This window comes from Homo sapiens, chromosome 1 (genome assembly GCF_000001405.40).
Source record: "Homo sapiens chromosome 1, GRCh38.p14 Primary Assembly".
Lineage (NCBI taxonomy): Eukaryota > Metazoa > Chordata > Mammalia > Primates > Hominidae > Homo > Homo sapiens.
Window position 1 is genome coordinate 52,160,977 of NC_000001.11, and position 19,850 is coordinate 52,180,826.

The 19,850-nt window shown below is 40.7% G+C and overlaps 1 protein-coding gene and 2 pseudogenes across 2 annotated transcripts in view; 2 read left to right on the top strand and 1 right to left on the bottom strand.

The window, feature by feature from the left end:
- ZFYVE9 (zinc finger FYVE-type containing 9) overlaps positions 1-19,850 on the top strand; it is a 204,546-nt gene that overhangs the window by 18,888 nt on the left and 165,808 nt on the right. The window lies entirely within an intron of this gene.
- LOC724060 (TRA2A pseudogene) lies at positions 69-2,505 on the bottom strand (annotated as a pseudogene).
- PDCL3P6 (PDCL3 pseudogene 6) lies at positions 18,839-19,718 on the top strand (annotated as a pseudogene).

Here is a 19,850-nt window from a genome sequence, read left to right on the forward strand (position 1 = left end):
ATTAGCCTGTTTACTGATGATATTTTCTGTGACAGACAATTCAGTAGTTTGGGTCTTTTTATTTTATTTTTTCAAATAAATTAACTTTTATTTGAAAGGAGACTACTTTTCCCCACATGTATCTTCTAAGGATTCTATACTATATGATAACCTGCTTATCCATAGTTCCAATACCAAAATTTCTAACAGCAAATTATATAGTTGCTCTAGGTAATAAATAAGGGTTGTCCTTCACTGATTAAGGGAATACTTAAACTTCAATAAATTTAACAAAGAAATCACACTTTAGTTTTTAAGTTTTGACAGATGTATTTTATTTTATTTTTTTTTGGAGACAGAGTCTTGCTCTATCACCCAGGCTGGAGTGCAGTGGCGCAATCTCAGCTCACTGCAACCTCCGCCTCCTGGGTTCAAGCGATTCTCCTGCCTCAGCCTCCTGAGTAGCTGGGACAGCAAGCACGCACTACCACGCCCAGCTAATTTTTTGTATTTTTAGTAGAGACAGGGTTTTGCTATGTTGCCCAGGCTGGTCTTGAACTCTTGAGCTCAGGCAATCCGCCTGCCTCAGCCTCCCAAAGTGCTAGGATTACCGGTGTGAGCCACTGTGCCTAGCCAAAGTTTTAAGAGATGTATTTTAAATACATCTTTCATAGGAGTCTGCAAGCTTTTTATCTCTAAAAAATGACTTAATTTTTAGGGCTCAAAAATTCCATTCTTCAAAAGAAATGTCCAAGTATTTTCTTTTATAGCTTCAAACTTTCTGCACCTAACTACTTGACTGTTCCATGCCACCCCAAACATGACATGACTGAACTAATTTATGTGTTACTGTCTTCCTCAAAAGAAAGTTTAAAAAGGAGTTCTTCATAAATGCAGATCTCTAATACAATATCTAACACAAAAGAAGCTTTAAAAAGGTAATTTCTTATTTGATTAGCTAGGAGTTTATGTTAGTAAAAGCAAAAAAAAAAAAAGTTTACGGAGTATAACACTAGGGTTGCTTTTATACTCAAGATGTTTACTCAAAATGACAACAATTACATCTTTAGGAGTATAATGTAGATACTAAATAAACCAAAAATTTTTTTTTCTTAAAGACTAGGAAGAATCAGAAGCTTAGGGACATCCAGAATTAAAAAAAAAAAAGGAGAGGAAAAAGAAAATAAAGAGGAAAAAAATGTCCTTCATTGCAACCATTTCATTATCAATAGTGTCTTGGGCTGCAGGAATGAGATCTTGATTGTGATCTGTATCGACTATAATAAGGAGAAGGTGATCATCTTCTGTACCGGTAATCATAGTCTTCATATCTGTCATATCCACGATGATATCCTCTATCATAGTAAGAATCTCGACGTCTGTGACCACCTCCACTGCCGCCTTTGCCACCACCTCCGCCACCACCACTATGAGTTCTGCCCATATAGATGCCTGGTATAGGTGTGCGCATTGTCTTGGTAATAGAATAATCCACCCGAATTTCTTCTATCATCCAGCTCCTTTCTGTTTGCCCTTACCATAGCCTCCTTTGAGTCATCTATTCCCTAAAAATGCACAAAAGCAAATCCTTGAGATCGCCCAGTTTGCTGGTTGTAAACCACATTGGCACCATTCAAAGGTCCATATCAAGAACATACTTCACGAAGATCTCTGTCTGTTGTGTACAAACTAAGGCCAAACACTCTAAGGCAAGTGTTGGGATCTGGATTTGCCCTTCTGCCAGTGTGTCTTCTCTGGTTAGACATTGGAGAATGACTTCGGCTCCTTCACTGCCAGTATTCTGGTGTATATGAGCTACTTCGTCTCCTGTGAGAGTGGTATCTGGATCAAGAGTGGGATCTGGATCAAGTGTGTAACGTCGATGAGAATGCCTCCTTGACATTTTGATCTTGATCGAGAATGGGATTCAGAGTGTTTGAAAACCCTTGAAGGACTACGAGATCCTGACCATCTCTCCAATTTTACACAAGCAGGAGTTCCTGTTGGAGATTTTGACTGAGAGTGAAGACTCATTTACTTAGGACCCATTTATTCTTCCAGATTCTTTTAATTCTACTTCACTCTTGCTTTCTACTTCTCTTCATTCTTGAGTTTTTCACTTTTTGTACTTTGCGTATTCTTCCCCAATTCAAACAATTCAAAATAGCCTTAAAAAAATTCAAGTGCTTCTATCCGACCAATCTTCTGTTCAGTTTTTTCCCCCATTCAATTTTAACTTTCTGATCCTTAATACTTTCCATTAGCCTTCTTTTACCTTGATTTATCTTCAACATTTTTGGAAAAAACTCTTCAGTTTCTTCATGAACATTAACTATGCCCTTGAAGTTGTTCTCCTCTACATCACTCATGTCTATGAGGTGCTCCCCAGAACTAAATATGAGACAAGTCTTGGCTCGAGGGCCAATGGCCTAATCAACCTGCTGACCAAACTGTGGGAGAGAGGAAAGAGTTGGCAACAAAGGCCGCTCCACTCCACTCCCACTTGGTTGCAGGCTCCAGCAAAATGGTGCTGACCTATTTTATTTTTATTTATTAATTTTCTTTTAGTTTAGGTCTGTTAGAGATGATTTAGTTTAGTATTCTAACATTCTAATTTGGTTAGATCTTTCGAATACTGATTCTTTGATCCAGCAGATTCAGCTGTCATACTTTTCTTTATATCCATCACATATTTCATTATTGTGCCATAAATGGCCACATCCAAATCATTAATAAAAATGTTAAACAGGACCAGGCACGGTGGCTCACATCTGTAATCCCAGGACTTCGGGAGGATCACTTGAGCCCAGGAGTTTAAGACCAGCGTGGGCAACATAGTGAGACCTCATCTAAATTATTAAAAAAAAAAAAGTTAAATACGATAAGACCAAGAATCAAGCTCTAGGCCATGCAATTGGTGATGTGCTTTCAGATGGGTAGATATTTATGGTCAACACTATTCAGCCTGTTAAAAATTGACCATATTGAATATGACCCAAATTTCTACCTTTTTTTTAAGACAGGGTCTCACTGTTGCCCAGGCTGGAGCGTAGTGGCTCAATCACTGCTCACTGCAACCCCCGCCTCCTAGGCTCAAGCCATCTTCCCACCTTGGTCTCCCCAGTAGCTGGGACTATAGATGCGCACCACCACACCTAGCTAATTTTTTTTTTTTTTTTTGTAGAGACGGGTTTTCACCATGTTGCCCAGACTGAATTTCTACATTTATTGCTTAAAAGACAATGAGTATATATCTTTTTTGTTTGTTTGTTTTTTAAGATGGGGTCTCATTCTGTAGCCCAGGCTGGAGTGCAGTGGCATGATCTCGGCTCACTGCAACCTCTGCCTCCCAGGTTCAAGTGATTCTCCTGCCTCAGCTTCTTGAGTAGTTGGGATTACAGGCATGCACCACCACGTCCAGCTAATTTTTGTATTTTTAGCAGAGATGGGCTTTTAACACGTTGGCCAGTCTGGTCTTGAACTCCTCACCTCAAGTAATCCACCCGCCTCGGACTCCCAAAGTGTTGGGATTACAGGCAGGAGCCACTGCGCCAAGCCGACAATGAGTATATATCTTTATACATCTATCTATCTATCTATCTGTTTGCACCGAGCCAACAATGAATATATATCTTTATACATCTGTCTGCGCCCAGCTGACAATGAGTATATATCTTTGTCCGTCCGTCCATCCGTCCATCCATCCATCCATCCATCCATCCTTTGCAGACATGCACTAGACCAAGGCTAACAAGGCATTGAGGCAGAAAAGGAAATGAAGCTATTTGGCTATAGATGATTGCTGCTTTCCTTTCTAAGTAAGCACTTGCTTTTGGCTTTTATCTGCCAGTAATCAGCTGGGTGATCTTGGAAAAGTGACTCAGCCTTTCAGGATTTGAGATTCTTAGCAGTAAAATAATATGATTGGGAAGTTTGTAGAGACAAAGCAGAATGGTGTCTGTCAGAAGCTATGGGGAAGGGGAGATGGGGATCAGTGTTTAATAGGTAGAGAGTTTCAGTTTGGGAAGATGAAAAATTTCTGAAGATGGTTGGAGGTAATGGTTGCACAACTGTGTGGACATATTTAATGCCACCAAATTGCACACTTTTAAAAATAGCTAAAATGGTAAATATGTGTATTTTACCACAATAAAAAAAAATCCAGAAAATAAGAGTAGGCTGGTATTGAACAATAGTAACAATAATGTTAAGGGACCCCACTGCCTTTCTTGTTTTTAATTATATAAATATAATAAAAAACTCATATCAGACTTAGTGGTGAAATACTGAAAGAATTTTTATTAAAGTCAGAAACAAAAGAAAATGTCCACCTTCACCATTTTCAGAGGAACTATCAGTGTAATTAGACAAGAAAGAAAGAGATCACTAGAAAAAGGCAAGTGGTTTGGTGGAGGGGCCTCATTGAGATCTTTCAATATGAATTAGAGAAAAGGAAGGGGAAGGATAATAGGACCCCTGAACAGTCTGTGAGGGAGTTTTGTGTGTATACATGCATGTGTGTGTATATAGAAGGGAACAGAATAAATCAGTTGAGACCTGGGGGAAAATATGATTGAATTAGATGGCCCGCAGAATCACCACTGAGAATAGGTAAATGGGAGATAGAAGGCAAATTTATGGGATGTATGTATCTGAACTTTTCTATATGCTGCTTCAATCAGAGCACTTTTCTGTGAGCTCCTATTGGGATTCTGCTGTTAATAGAGGTTTTGCTGTTAAGAGTTTAGAACCATTGGCTTAGAACTCTGGATTCTTCTGACAGAAAAGTTTACTATTTCAGGTTCAATTCAATAGTGATCAGCATAGTTCCTAGAACGTGGCAAAGTGATTGAAATTGTCAGAACAATCATTGAAGAGATGGGCATATAAATAATAACAGCAAATTTGTCTTCTAGACTGTGTCATCAATTATTGGAGGATTGGAAGCATATCTTGTATCCTACTTAGCTCCTCTTCTTTGACTCTCCTGCTATTTGTGCTCTGTTTTAATGCCCTCTGTTCTTTGAAGCAACAGTAGTTACATGGAAAAAGGGGTGAGTTTGCATACCGTCACACTTTGGTATGCAGTAGAAGTGCCTTCTTCATATTTCCATTTTGTCACACAGAATATTAAAAAGACTTTACTCGAGTTGAGATTTAACAAAGTTAATAATTTTTATTGCTTCATCAGTCAAGTGAAACTGACGTTTTAGAACAACTGAGAGTGCATGGCAGTGAAGAATAAGACTACCAGTATAGTTTGGTATTGCTGCCTTGATTATTGCTAAGGTGCAAGCAGTTCTACCCATCATTGCTATTGTGCTTTCACTACAGTTGTCAACATGGTGAAAAGGGCATACATACTAAGATGTGGATTCCCGCGAGTCTGTGGACTACAATTTGAGAACCACTGGAGTAATCTGAACTCATCCCATTTTTAGTTTGAATGTTGCAACCTGCACTTTACCTCATAAGATTACCTAGCCTGTTTAAAAGTTTTTATAAATTCAACAACCTGGTTAGATAAACTCTATTGAGTGTTTAACTGACTTAATCATTTTAAAATGTTTTAATAATACAGGGCTTAATCTATATCCTTCATGATTTTTCATCTGAACACTTTATTGTTTGCTTATATATACTAATTCTACCCTGATGATTAAAAAAAAAAGTTTTAGGCTGGGTGCGGTAGCTTATGCCTGTAATCCCAGCGTGAGGAGGCCAAGGTAGGAGCATTGCTTGAGCCCAGGAGTTCGAGACCAGCCTAGACAACATCTTGTCCCATCTCTACAAAAAACAAAAAAGTCAGGCATGGTGACACGCACCTGTAGTCCCAGCTGGAGGCTGAGGTGGGAGGATCACCCGAGCCTGGGGAGGTCAAGGCTGCAGTAGCTGTGATAATGCCACTGCACTCCAGCCTGGGTGACACCAGATCTTAAGAAGAAAAAAAAGTTTTAAGGCTTACATTTCATGCTTATTTACTCTGAACAAATCTTTTTAAAAAATGTATCAATTGATCTTTATAAAAAATAATTCCCATTAGCAGAATAAAGATTATGTATTGAATATGATTCCAATATAATTTAAAAAGTTTTGCAAAAGGAGTCATAAAAAGAAATGTCTGCTTCATTAAAGTTGCATATTAATACAAACACATGGTATCAGTAAGAACTCTGCCATTGTCAGGATTGCTATAGTTTAGGCCTCTTGTTTCTAAGTCCTCAGGCAGCTGCAGTTGCTCTGTATATCACATTACATAGCTCACCTTCTGTTTCTCATTGAAGAAAAATGAGGCATAGGATGTGCAGTGATCCAATGTTAGGTACTTCCTTGACCCCATCAATCTTGGTGGATAAATAAGAAAAATACATTTTAAGCTTTGAAACATGATTTCAAGCACTTGATAGTGTTTCAGCAGTAGTCTTGGTAAGTGGACGAAGCCAGTGATTTGGCCTGCCTTGGATGGATAAATGAAATTGCACGTTGCCATGAAGACCCATCTCACTCAACAGCGCATGAGATACATATGAATCCTCGCCTTGGTAATGTTCTAGAGGTGAATATTAGCATAGATCTAAAAATAACCTACCCTTTTACCCTGATATATGATGCCACCGTCACTTGTAGAGTACAAAAACGTATACAAATCTTGCCACACTTTGGTTACAGGACACCCACTTCTCAGAAACACCTCATCAGAAAGCACATACAAATCATCAACTGTCATTGCTTTAATTTTGATGTGAAGCCAATCAAGAGTACAGTAATACTCTTGATTCTGCATATCCAAACAAAGTCACAGCAACAAGCAGATGAACTGAAGATAACTTCAAGAGAGCCTTCATGATACCAGGTCCAAAGCAATGACCTCTCAGTGTGCAGACAGCAGAATCACAGTTGATCTTTGGAACATTCAGATCCTGTGAGATGCTTGCAGCAAAAATCTTTGTTTCTGTAGCTTTTTGGAGAAAAGGCAAATAAATTTAGGATTAGTGAAATATTTTCAGCAGGCTGTTGAAAGGAGTTAGAAGTAAGTTGCATTATAGTATTATATGCATTTTGTCATTGTGTAGATCATAGAGTGGTTTCTGTGTGAAATTTGGGGCTTCCTTAGGAGTTAGGAGGGACTGCTTTCATTTAGTATACTTCTTATTTAAGAAAACTTATTAAAATCTGTCATAAAGCAAATTTGAAAATAGAAACAAATTAAGTTTGTGTTACAGATTAGATTCCTCCTCCTCTTCCTCCTCTTCGTCTTCTTTTTTTTTTTTTTTTTTTTTTGACAGAGTCTCGCTCTGTCATCCAGGCTGGAGTGCAATGGTGCGATCTCAGCTTACTGCAACCTCTGCTGCCCAGGTTCAAGCAGTTGTCCTGTCTCAGCGTCCTGCATTGCTGGGGCTACAGGCGCACACCACCACACCCGGCTAGATTGTGTATTTTCAATAGAGACGGGGTTTCACCGTATTGGTCAGGCTGGTCTCAAACTCCTGACCTCAGGTGATCTGCCTGCCTTGGCCTCCCAAAGTGCTAGGATTACAGGCGTGAGCCACTGTGCTTGGCCTTTTTTTTTTTTTTTAAAAGCAACAGGGTCTTGCTCTGTAGCCCAGGCTGGAGTGCGGTGGCTTGATTGTGGCTCACTGTGGCCTTGACCTCAGGCTCAAACAAGCCTCCCATCTCAGCCTCCCAAGTAGCTGGGACCACAGACACACACCACCATGCCTGGCTAATTTTTTACTATTTTGTAGAGACAAGGTCTTCCTATGTTGTCCAGGCTGGTTTTGAACTCCTGGGATCAAGCAATATTCCTGCCTCAGCCTCCCAGAGTACTAGGATTACAGGTATGAGCCACCACGCCTAGCCAGATTAGATTCTTTAAAAGCAAATTCTAGATGAGGTATCAGGTTTCTTTTAATGTATTGAAATTTTGTTGTATTGATTTTTGCTGGAAATAAGTGGCAGTTGGCCGACCCTAATCTGACCCCCCTGGAAACTCCTTTCCTATCATCTGCTACTCTTTCCCTCCCTTAATCTGTGCTTTGTTCTTGCTGTCCCTCTGTTTTTAACTACCTTCCTCTGAATTCCCAGATTGCTCCCTGACATCCAGATCTTGATGTGACTCAGTGAGACTTTCTCTGGCTGCCTAATTTAAAATTGTAACCCCCTAGTCGAGTGCAGTGGCTCATGCCTATAATCCTAGCACTTTGGGAGGCAGAGGCGGGTAGATTGCTTGAGTCCAGGAGTTTGAGACCAGCATGGGCAACATGATAAAACCCAATCTCTACAAAAAATGCAAAAAAACTAGCCAGACGTGGTGGTACACGCCTGTACTCCCAGCTTGGGAGGCTGAGATGTGAGGTTCACCTAAGCCCAGGAGGTCAAGGCTGCCATGAGCCATGATTGTGCCACTGCTCTCCAGCTTGGGTGACAGAGTGAGACACTGTCTGAATAAAATAAAATAAATTTATAACCCTCAAATTTTCCTCTCTCTTTATTTTTCATCTTAACACGTCATCTAGCATATCATATATTTTACATGTTTATCTTGTTGATCATTCATTTCCATCCATTAGAATGTAATCTCTGCGAGGGCTCAGGTTTTGCCTGTTTACTTGCTGTTTCATCTCCAGTGCTAATACTCAAATTCAACAACCTGGTTAGATAAACTCCACTGAGTGTTTAACTGACTTAATTATTTTAAAATGTTATAATAATAGAGGGCTTAATCTGTACCCTTGATTGTTGAAGGAACACAGTAACCAGGTGCTCAAGTATTGGTTGAGTGAATATTTATATAAATGTGAATTATGTGGAGATTTTTATTGTAATTATGTTGTAATGAGATTTGACCCCAAAACTTGCTATTATGAAGTATTTGTACCCTAACTCCTTGCTATCCTCTTATTTTCAACTTGGTCTAGGACTTTAGTAAGCTAATACATTTGTTGAATGGATTTGTCAATCAGTAAGCCTCAATTTTTTCCTGCAGAAATACATTTTCGTTATGTGATGTAACAGTTACATACGTTGGAACAGCCAAGAATTCGTTTTGACCTTTTGCAGATTTTACTTAAGAAGATTTTGAAAAATTTTATTGCTCTTTTTTAAAAATTCTTCCTATCTTCATTTAATATTCAGTTCAAAGCTTTTCATGAAGTCTTGTTAGATAATTCTAAGCTGTAATAATTGTTTCCTCTTAGTTTCTATAACATTAATTTATGAACATACTAATATTTGTAAATCCATTGCATCATTTATTCATTTGACGATACTTATTGACCCATTTACTCTTAATTTGCTGGCATATAGTTTTTCATAGTAGCCACTCATGATCCTTTGAATTTCTTGGTATCAGTAATAATGTCTCCTTTTTCATCTCTGATTTCGTTTGAGTCTTCTTTTTTTCTTAGTCTGGCTAAAGGTTTGTCAATTTTATTTATCTTTTCAAAGAAACTGACATTTGTTTCATTGATCTTTTGTATTGTTTTCATTTCAAATTCATTTCTTTTTTCCTTTTAATTTTCAAATTCATTTATTCTCTGATCTTTATTACTTCTTTTCTTCTAATTTTGGGTTTGGTTTGCTCTTGCTTTTCTAGTTCTTTAAGATGCATCATTAGGTTATTTATTTGAAGGTTTTTCTTTTTTGATGTAGGCACTTAGAGCTATAAATTGTCCTCTTAGTACTGCTTTTGCTGTATCCCATAGGTTTCGGCATGTTGTGTTTCCATTATTATTTGTTTCAATAAAATGTTCAATTTCCTTACTGGCCATTCAGGAGTATATTGTTTAATTTCCATGTGTTTGTATAGTTTCCAAAATTCCTCATTATTGATTTGTAATTTTATTCCCTTGTGGTCAGAGAAGATGCCTGATATTTCCATGCTTTTGAACGTTTTAAGGCTTGTTTTGTGACCGAACATATGGTCTCTACTTGAGAATGATCCACATGCTGAAGATAAAAATGTATATTCTGCAGTTATTGGATGAAATGTCCTGTTAATATCTATTAGGTCCATGTGTTCTATAGTGCAGATTAAGTCCGATGGTTTTTTTTTTTTAATTATACTTTAAGTTTTAGGGTACATGTACACAATGTGCAGGTTAGTTACATATGTATACATGTGCCATGCTGGTGTGCTGCACCCATTAACTCGTCATTTAGCATTAGGTATATCTCCTAATGCTGTCCCTCCCCGCTCCCCCCACCCCACAACAGTCCCCAGAGTGTGATGTTCCCCTTCCTGTGTCCATGTGTTCTCATTGTTCAATTCCCATCTATGAGTGAGAACATGCGGTGTTTGGTTTTCTCCTTGTGATTGTTTACTGAGAATGATGATTTCCAATTTCATCCATGTCCCTACAAAGGACGTGAACTCATCATTTTTTATGGCTGCATAGTATTCCATGGTGTATATGTGCCACATTTTCTTAATCCACTATATCATTGTTGGACATTTGGGTTGGTTCCAAGTCTTTGCTATTGTGAATAGTGCCGCAATAAACATACGTGTGCATGTGTCTTTACAGCAGCATGATTTATAGTCCTTTGGGTATATACCCAGTAATGGGATTGCTGGGTCAAATGGTTTTTCTAGTTCTAGATCCCTGAGGAATTGCCACACTGACTTCCACAATGGTTGAACTAGTTTACAGTCCCACCAACAGTGTAAAAGTGTTCCTATTTCTCCACATCCTCTCCAGCACCTGTTGTTTCCTGACTTTTTAATGATCGCCATTCTAACTGGTATGAGATGGTATCTCATTGTAGTTTTGATTTGCATTTCTCTGATGGCCAGTGATGATGAGCATTTTTTCATGTGTCTTTTGGCTACATAAATGTCTTCTTTTGAGAAGTGTCTGTTCATATCCTTTGCCTGCTTTTTGATGGGGTTGTTTGTTTTTTTCTTGTAAATTTGTTTGTGTTCATTGTAGATTCTGGATATTAGCTCTTTGTCAGATGAGTAGGTTGCGAAAATTTTCTTCCATTTTGTAGGTTGCCTGTTCACTCTGATGGTAGTTTCTTTTGCTGTGCAGAAGCTCTTTAGTTTAATGAGATCCCATTTGTCAATTTTGGCTTTTGTTGCCATTGCTTTTGGTGTTTTAGACATGAAGTCCTTGCCCATGCCTATGTCCTGAATGGTAATGCCTAGGTTTTCTTCTAGGGTTTTTATGGTTTTAGGTCTAACGTTTAAGTCTTTAGTCCATCTTGAATTAAATTTTTTATAAGATGTAAGGAAGGGATCCAGTTTCAGCTTTCTACATATGGCTAGCCAGTTTTCCCAGCACCATTTATTAAATAGGGAATCCTTTCCCCATTGCTTGTTTATCTCAGATTTGTCAAAGATCAGATAGTTGTAGATATGCGGCGTTATTTCTGAGGGCTCTGTTCTGTTCCATTGATCTATATCTCTATTTTGGTACCAGTACCATGCTGTTTTGGTTACTGTAGCCTTGTAGTATAGTTTGAAGTCAGGTAGCATGATGCCTCCAGCTTTGTTCTTTTGGCTTAGGATTGACTTGGTGATTCGGGCTCTTTTTTGGTTCCTTATGAACTTTAAAGTAGTTTTTTCCAATTCTGTGAAGAAAGTCATTGGTAGCTTGATGGGGATGGCATTGAATCTATAAATTACCTTGGGCAGTATGGCCATTTTCACGGTATTGATTGTTCCTACCCATGAGCATGGAATGTTCTTCCATTTGTTTGTATCCTCTTTTATTTCATTGAGCAGTGGTTTGTAGTTCTCCTTGAAGAGGTCCTTCACGTCCCTTGTAAGTTGGATTCCTAAGTATTTTATTCTCTTTGAAGCAATTGTGAATGGGAGTTCACTCATGATTTGGCTCTCTGTTTGTCTGTTATTGGTGTATAAGAATGCTTGTGATTTTTGTACATTGATTTTGTATCCTGAGACTTTGCCGAAGTTGCTTATCAGCTTAAGGAGATTTTGGGCTGAGACAATGGGGTTTTCTAGATATACAATCATGTCATCTACAAACAGGGACAATTTGACTTCCTCTTTTCCTAATTGAATACCCTTTATTTCCTTCTCCTGCCTAATTGCCCTGGCCAGAACTTCCAACACTATGTTGAATAGGAGTGGTGAGAGAGGGCATCCCTGTCTTGTGCCAGTTTTCAAAGGGAATGCTTCCAGTTTTTGCCCATTCAGTATGATATTGGCTGTTGGTTTGTCATAGATAGCTCTTATTATTTTGAGATACGTCCCATCAATACCTAATTTATTGAGAGTTTTTAGCATGAAGTGTTGTTGAATTTTGTCAAAGGCTTTTTCTGCATCTACTGAGATAATCATGTGGTTTTTGTCTTTGGTTCTGTTTATATGCTGGATTACATTTATTGATTTGCTTATATTGAACTGGTCTTGCATCCCAGGGATGAAGCCCACTTGATCATGGTGGATAAGCTTTTTGATGTGCTGCTGGATTTGGTTTGCCAGTATTTTATTGAGGATTTTTGCATCAATGTTCATCAAGGATATTGGTCTCTAATTCTCTTTTTTGGTTGTGTCTCTGCCCGGCTTTGGTATCAGGATGATGCTGGCCTCATAAAATGAGTTAGGGAGGGTTCCCTCTTTTTCTGTTGATTGGAATAGTTTCAGAAGGAATGGTACCAGTTCCTCCTTGTACCTCTGGTAGAATTCGGCTGTGAATCCATCTGGTCCTGGACTCTTTTTGGTTGGTAAGCTGTTGATTATTGCCACAATTTCAGATCCTGTTATTGGTCTATTCAGAGATTCAACTTCTTCCTGGTTTAGTCTTGGGAGAGTGTATGTGTCGAGGAATTTATCCATTTCTTCTAGATTTTCTAGTTTATTTGTGTAGAGGTGTTTATAGTATTCTCTGATGGTAGTTTGTATTCCTGTGAGATCGGTGGTGATATCCCCTTTATAATTTTTTATTGTGTCTATTTGATTCTTCCCTCTTTTTTTCTTTGTTAGTCTTGCTAGCGGTCTATCAGTTTTGTTGATCCTTTCAAAAAACCGGCTCCTGGATTCATTAATTTTTTGAAGAGTTTTTTTTTGTCTCTATTTCCTTCAGTTCTGCTCTGATTTTAGTTATTTCTTGCCTTCTGCTAGCTTTTGAATGTGTTTGCTCTTGCTTTTCTAGTTCTTTTAATTGTGATGTTAGGGTGTCAATTTTGGATCTTTCCTGCTTTGTCTTGTGGGCATTTAGTGCTATAAATTTCCCTCTACACACTACTTTGAATGTGTCCCAGAGATTCTGGTATGTTGTGTCTTTGTTCTTGTTGGTTTCAAAGAACATCTTTATTTCTGCCTTCATTTTGTTATGTACCCAGTAGTCATTCAGGAGCAGGTTGTTCAGTTTCCATGTAGTTGAGTGGTTTTGAGTGAGTTTCTTAATCCTGAGTTCTAGTTTGATTGCACTGTGGTCTGAGAGACAGTTTGTTATAATTTCTGTTCTTTTACATTTGCTGAGGAGAGCTTTACTTCCAACTATGTGGTCAATTTTGGAATAGGTGTGGTGTGGTGCTGAGAATAATGTATATTCTGTTGATTTGGGGTGGAGAGTTCTGTAGATATCTATTAGGTCTGCTTGGTGCAGAGCTGAGTTCAATTCCTGGGTATCCTTGTTAACTTTCTGTCTCATTGATCTGTCTAATGTTGACAGTGGGGTGTTAAAGTCTCCCATTATTATTGTGTGGGAGTCTGAGTCTCTTTGTAGGTCACTCAGGACTTGCTTTATGAATCTGGGTGCTCCTGTATTGGGTGCATATATATTTAGGATAGTTAGCTCTTCTTGCTGAATTGATCCCTTTACCATTATGTAATGGCCTTCTTTGTCTCTTTTGATCTTTGTTGGTTTAAAGTCTGTTTTATCCGAGACTAGGATTGCAACCCCTGCCTTTTTTTGTTTTCCATTTGCTTGGTAGATCTTCCTCCATCCTTTTATTTTGAGCCTATGTGTGTCTGTGCACGTGAGATGGGTGTCCTGAATACAGCACACTGATGGGTCTTGACTCTTTATCCAATTTGCCAGTCTGTGTCTTTTAATTGGAGCGTTTAGTCCATTTACATTGAAAGTTAATATTGTTATGTGTGAATTTGATCCTGTCATTATGGTGTTAGCTGGTTATTTTGCTCTTTAGTTGATGCAGTTTCTTCCTAGTCTTGATGGTCTTTACATTTTGGCATGATTTTGCAGCGGCTGGTACTGGTTGTTCCTTTCCATGTTTAGTGCTTCCTTCAGGAGCTCTTTTAGGGCAGGCCTGGTGGTGACAAAATCTCTCAGCATTTGCTTGTCTGTAAAGTATTTTATTTCTCCTTCACTTATGAAGCTTAGTTTGGCTGGATATGAAATTCTGGGTTGAAAATTCTTTTCTTTAAGAATGTTGAATATTGGCCCCTACTCTCTTCTGGCTCGTAGAGTTTCTGCCGAGAGATCAGCTGTTAGTCTGATGGGCTTCCCTTTGTGGGTAACCCGACCTTTCTCTGTGGCTGCCCTTAACATTTTTTCCTTCATTTCAACTTTGGTGAATCTGACAATTATGTGTCTTGGAGTTGCTCTTCTCGAGGAGTATCTTTGTGGCGTTCTCTGTATTTCCTGAATCTGAATGTTGGCCTGCCTTGCTAGATTGGGGAAGTTCTCCTGGATAATATCCTGCAGAGTGTTTGCCAACTTGGTTCCATTCTCCCCGTCACTTTCAGGTACACCATTCAGATGTAGATTTGGTCTTTTCACATAGTCCCATTTTTCTTGGAGGCTTTGTTCGTTTCTTTTTATTCTTTTTTCTCTAAACTTCCCTTCTTGCTTCATTTCATTCATTTCATCTTCCATCACTGAAACCGTTTCTTCCAGTTGATCGCATCGGCTCCTGAGGCTTCTGCATTCTTCACGTAGTTCTCGAGCCTTGGCTTTCAGCTCCTTTAAGCACTTCTCTGTATTGGTTATTCTAGTTATACATTTGTCTAAGTTTTTTTCAAAGTTTTCAACTTCTTTGCCTTTGGTTTGAATTTCCTCCTGTAGCTTGGAGTAGTTTGATCGTCTGAAGCCTTCTTCTCTCAGCTCGTCAAAGTCATTCTCCATCCAGGTTTGTTCCATTGCTGGTGAGGAACTGCGTTCCTTTGGAGGAGGAGAGACACGCTGCTTTTTAGAGTTTCCAGTTTTTCTGCTCTGTTTTTTCCTCATCTTTGTAGTTTTATCTACTTTTGGTCTTTGATGATGGTGATGTACAGATGGGTTTTTGGTGTGGATGTCCTTTCTGTTTGTTAGTTTTCCTTCTAACAGATAGGACCCTCAGCTGCAGGTCTGTTGGAGTTTGCTAGAGGTCCACTCCAGACCCTGTTTGCCTGGGTATCAGCAGTGGTGGCTGTAGAACAGCGGATCTTGGTGAACCGCAAATGCTGCTGCCTGATCGTTCCTCTGGAAGTTTTGTCTCAGAGGAGTACCCGGCCGTGTGAGGTGTCAGTCTGCCCCTACTGGGGGGTGTCTCCCAGTTAGGCTGGTCAAGGGTCAAGGACCCACTTGAGGAGGCAGTCTGCCCATTCTCAGATCTCCACCTGTGTGCTGGGAGAACCACTGCTCTCTTCAAAGCTGTCAGACAGGGACATTTAAGTCTGCAGAGGTTACTGCTGTCTTTTTGTTTGTCTGTGCCCTGCCCCCAGAGGTGGAGCCTACGGAGGCAGGCAGGCCTCCTTGAGCTGTGGTGTGCTCCACCCAGTTCGAGCTTCCCGGCTGCTTTGTTTACCTAAGCAAGCCTGGGCAATGGTGGGCGCCCCTCCCCCAGCCTCGCTGCCGCCTTGCAGTTTGATCTCAGGCTGCTGTGCTAGCAATCAGCGAGACTCCGTGGGCATAGGACCCTCCGAGCCAGGTGTGGGATATAATCTCCTGGTGCGCCGTTTCCTAAGCCCGTCAGAAAAGCGCAGTATTGGGGTGGGAGTGACCCGATTTTCCAGGTGCCGTCTGTCACCCCTTTCCTTGACCAGGAAAGGGAACTCCCTGACTCCTTGCGCTTCCCGAGTGAGGCAATGCCTTGCCCTGCTTCGGCTCGTGCACAGTGCGCTGCACCCACTGTCCTGTGCCCACTCTCTGGCACTCCCTAGTGAGATGAACCCGGTACCTCAGATGGAAATGCAGAAATCACCCATCTTCTGCGTCGCTCACGCTGGGAGCTGTAGACCGGAGCTGTTCCTATTTGGCCATCTTGGCTCCCCAGCCCGATTTTTTTTTTTTTTTTTTGAGACGGACTCTCCCTCTTGTCACCCAGGCTGGAGTGCAATGGCAGGATCTCAGCTCACTGCAACCTCTGCCTCCCAGGTTCAAGCACTTCTCCTGCCTCAGCCTCCCCAGTAGCTGGGATTACAGGCATGAGCTACCAACCTGGCTAATTTTTGTATTTTTGAGTAGAAATGAGATTTCACCATCTTGGCCAGGCTGGTCTTGAACTCCTGACCTCATGATCCATCCGCCTCGCCGCACAAAGTGCTGGATTACAGGCGTGAGCCACTGCACCTGGCCCAAGTCTGATGTTTCTTTGTTGATTTTTTGTCTGGGAGATCTGTCCAGTACATGACCCATGTACTCTCTCAAGACCGTGCTTAAGTGCTAGATATAGAAAAAGGAATAAGACATCTGTGCCATCAAGGAATTAAAGGACTAGTTGGGAAGGCAAATATGTAAATGAGTAAATACACCAAATTGTGTGAAGATGATCAGTTCCATCTGGAGAGATCGAGGAAAGCTTGACTGAAATGGTGACACTTTTGTTTAGTATTGAAAAATTAACAGGAGTTCTCCAGATGGATAAAGATGAGAGGGGTGTTTTAAGCAGAGGAAAACCTGGGCACAAACGTGTAGCAGTATGTGGAACAACATATGCTATCTAATTGGGGAACTGCAAATAGTGTGTTATGCTAGTTTTGTAGGCTGAAAGGAATTGAGGGCAAGAGGTAAAGTAGATACTTAGACACAGGAGCTAGATTATGAAAGACTTCATATACTATGAAAAGTAGTTTTGTTTTTTTTTTTTTTAGCAGGGCATGGGGAACCAATGAAGAATTTAAAATAATAGGCCGGGCACAGTGGCTCACGCCCGTAATCCCAGCACTTTGGGAGGCCGAGGCGGGTAGATCACGAAGTCAGGAGATCGAGACAATCCTGGCTAACAAGGTGAAACCCCATCTCTACTAAAAATACAAAAAATTAGCTGGGTGTGGTGGCTGGCGCCTGTAGTCTCAGCTACTTGGGAGGCTGAGGCAGGAGAATGGCATGAACCTGGGAGGTGGAGCTTGCAGTGAGCCCAGATCCCGCCACTGCACTCCAGCCTGGGTGACAGAGCAAGACTCCATCTCAAAAAAAAAAAAAAAAAAAAAAAAAGGTAGGCTACTTGGGCATATTTGGGCTTTTTTTTTTTTTCGTTTTTGAGACGGAGTCTCGCACTATCGCCCAGGCAGGAGTGCAGTGGCACGATCTTGGCTCACTGTAACCTCCACCTCCTGGATTCAAGTGATTCTCTTGCCTCGGCCTCCTGAGTAGCTAGGACCCAGGCACCCACCACCATGCCCGGCTAATTTCTGTATTTTTAGTAGAGACAGGGTTTCACCATATTAGACAGGCTGGTCTTGAACTCCTGACCTTGTGATCCACCTGCCTCGGCCTACCAAAGTGCTAGGATTACAGGCATGAGCCACCTCGCCCGGCTTATTTGGTTGAAGATTTAGAAAGATTATTTTGTTGTCTGTGTAGCAGATGGGTTGAATGAGGGCCAGAATGGATACAGGGTTATCATTGGGGAAACTATTGAAGAAAACAAAGCCAGAGACAATAATATAAATTAGAGTAGTAACATCTAGAATGGATAGGAAGGGATGGATTCAAGAGATAATTACTTATTTATGAGACAGAGTCTCGCTCTGTTACCCAGGCTGGAGTGCAGTGGTGTGATCATGGCTCATTGGAGCCTCGACCTCTTGGCCCAAACAATCTTCCTACCTCAACCTCCTGAGTAGCTGGGACCACAGGCATGTGCCACCATGCCTGGCTAATTTTTTTGTTTTTGTAGAGACAGGGTCTCCCTTTGTTGCCCAGGGTGGTCTTGAACTCCTGGGCTCAAGCAGCCCTCCCTCCGTGGCCTCCCAAAATGCTGGAATTATAGATGTGAGACACTGTGCCTGGCCACAAGAGATATTTAGGGTTTGAATTGTTAGGATTGATTGGTGGGTAGAGTGGTTCTTAGATGTCTGGGTTTGGATGATTGAGTGTATCATTCAGGCTTAGATGAGGCGATGGAGTGCAGAAGACATACTAGGTTTTAGGGAGTAGTTAAAGCCACAAGGGTGAATGAGATCATCCAGTGAAACCATGTAGAGTGAAGAGACAAGAGGTCATGAGAGAGAACATGAGACTGGATTAAAAGTCACATTTAAGGCCGGGCGTGGTGGCTCATGCCTGTAATTCCAGCACTTTGGGAGGCTGAGGCGGGCGGATTGTGTGAGGTCAGGAGTTCAAGACCAGCCTGGCTAACGTTGTGAAACCTGTCTCTACTAAAAATACAAAAATTAGTTGGGCGTGGTGGCACATGCCTATAGTCCCAGCTACTTGGGAGGCTGAGGCAGGAGAATCTTTTGAACCCGAGAGGTGGAGGTTGCAGTGAGCTGAGATTGTGCCACTGCACTCCAACCTATGCAACAGAGCAAGATTGTGTCTCAAAAAAAAAAAAGTCACATTTAAGTGACACAGTGGAATAAAGTCCACAAAAGGAGACAAAGAAAAGAAGAGGAAAATCAATAGAGAGTATCAAGTTTTTATAGGAGCGGAGGAGGAGAGTTTTAAAAAAGAGTGTTCCTGTGGATAGGCTAAATAAAAAGGATTTAAAGTGTCTATTAGGGGGCACAGCTGGCTTCAGCAATTGGAAACAAGATGCAGGACCCCAACGCAGACACTGAATGGAGTGACATCTTACACAAAAAGGGCATCTTAAAGTCTGAAAGAATTGGAAGAGGAGGCAGAAGATGAGCAGCGCATCCTCCAGCAGTCAGTCGTGACAACATAGGAAGATATGACTTTGGAAGAGCTGGAGGATCGTGAAGACAAGTTTAATGAGGAGGATGAATGTGCTATTGAAATGTACAGACAGCAGAGACTGGCTGAGTGGAAAGCAACTAAATTGAAGAATAAATTTGAAGAAGTTTTGGAGATCTCAGGGAAGGATTATGTTCAAGAAGTTACCAAAGCCAGTGAGGGTTTGTGGGTCGTCTTGCACCTTTACAAACAAGGAATTCCCCTCTGTGCCCTGATAAATCAGCACCTCAGTGGAGTTGCCAGGAAGTTTCCTGATGTCAAATTTATCAAAGCCATTTCAACAACCTGCATACCCAGTTATCCTGATAGGAATCTGCCCATGATATTTGTTTACGTGGAAGGAGATATCAAGGCTCAGTTTATTGGTCCTCTGGTGTTTGGCGGCATTAACCTGACAAGAGATGAGTTGCAGTGAAAACTGTCTGAATCTGGAGCAATTAAGAGGGACCTGGAGGAAAACCCTAAGAAGCCAGTTGAAGATGTATTGCTGTCCTCAGTGCAATGCTCTGTCCCCATGAAGAGGGACAGTGATTCTGAGGGTGACTGAGGCTGCAGCTGCTATCACTTTCTTGTGACAAATTGTCTGGATTTTTTAAAAAAGGATAAAGTAAGAATGAATTCTTCTGGTTTTTAGTTTTGTACAAATTATGTTTCAAATCTTTACATTTTAGAAATAATCATTGCTGGGCCGGGCGCGGTGGCTTACGCCTGTAATCCCAGTGCTTTGGGAGCCTGAGGCAGGCAGATCACCTGAAGTTGGGAGTTCGATACCAGCCTTACCAACATGGAGAAACCCTGTCTCCACTAAAAATACAAAAA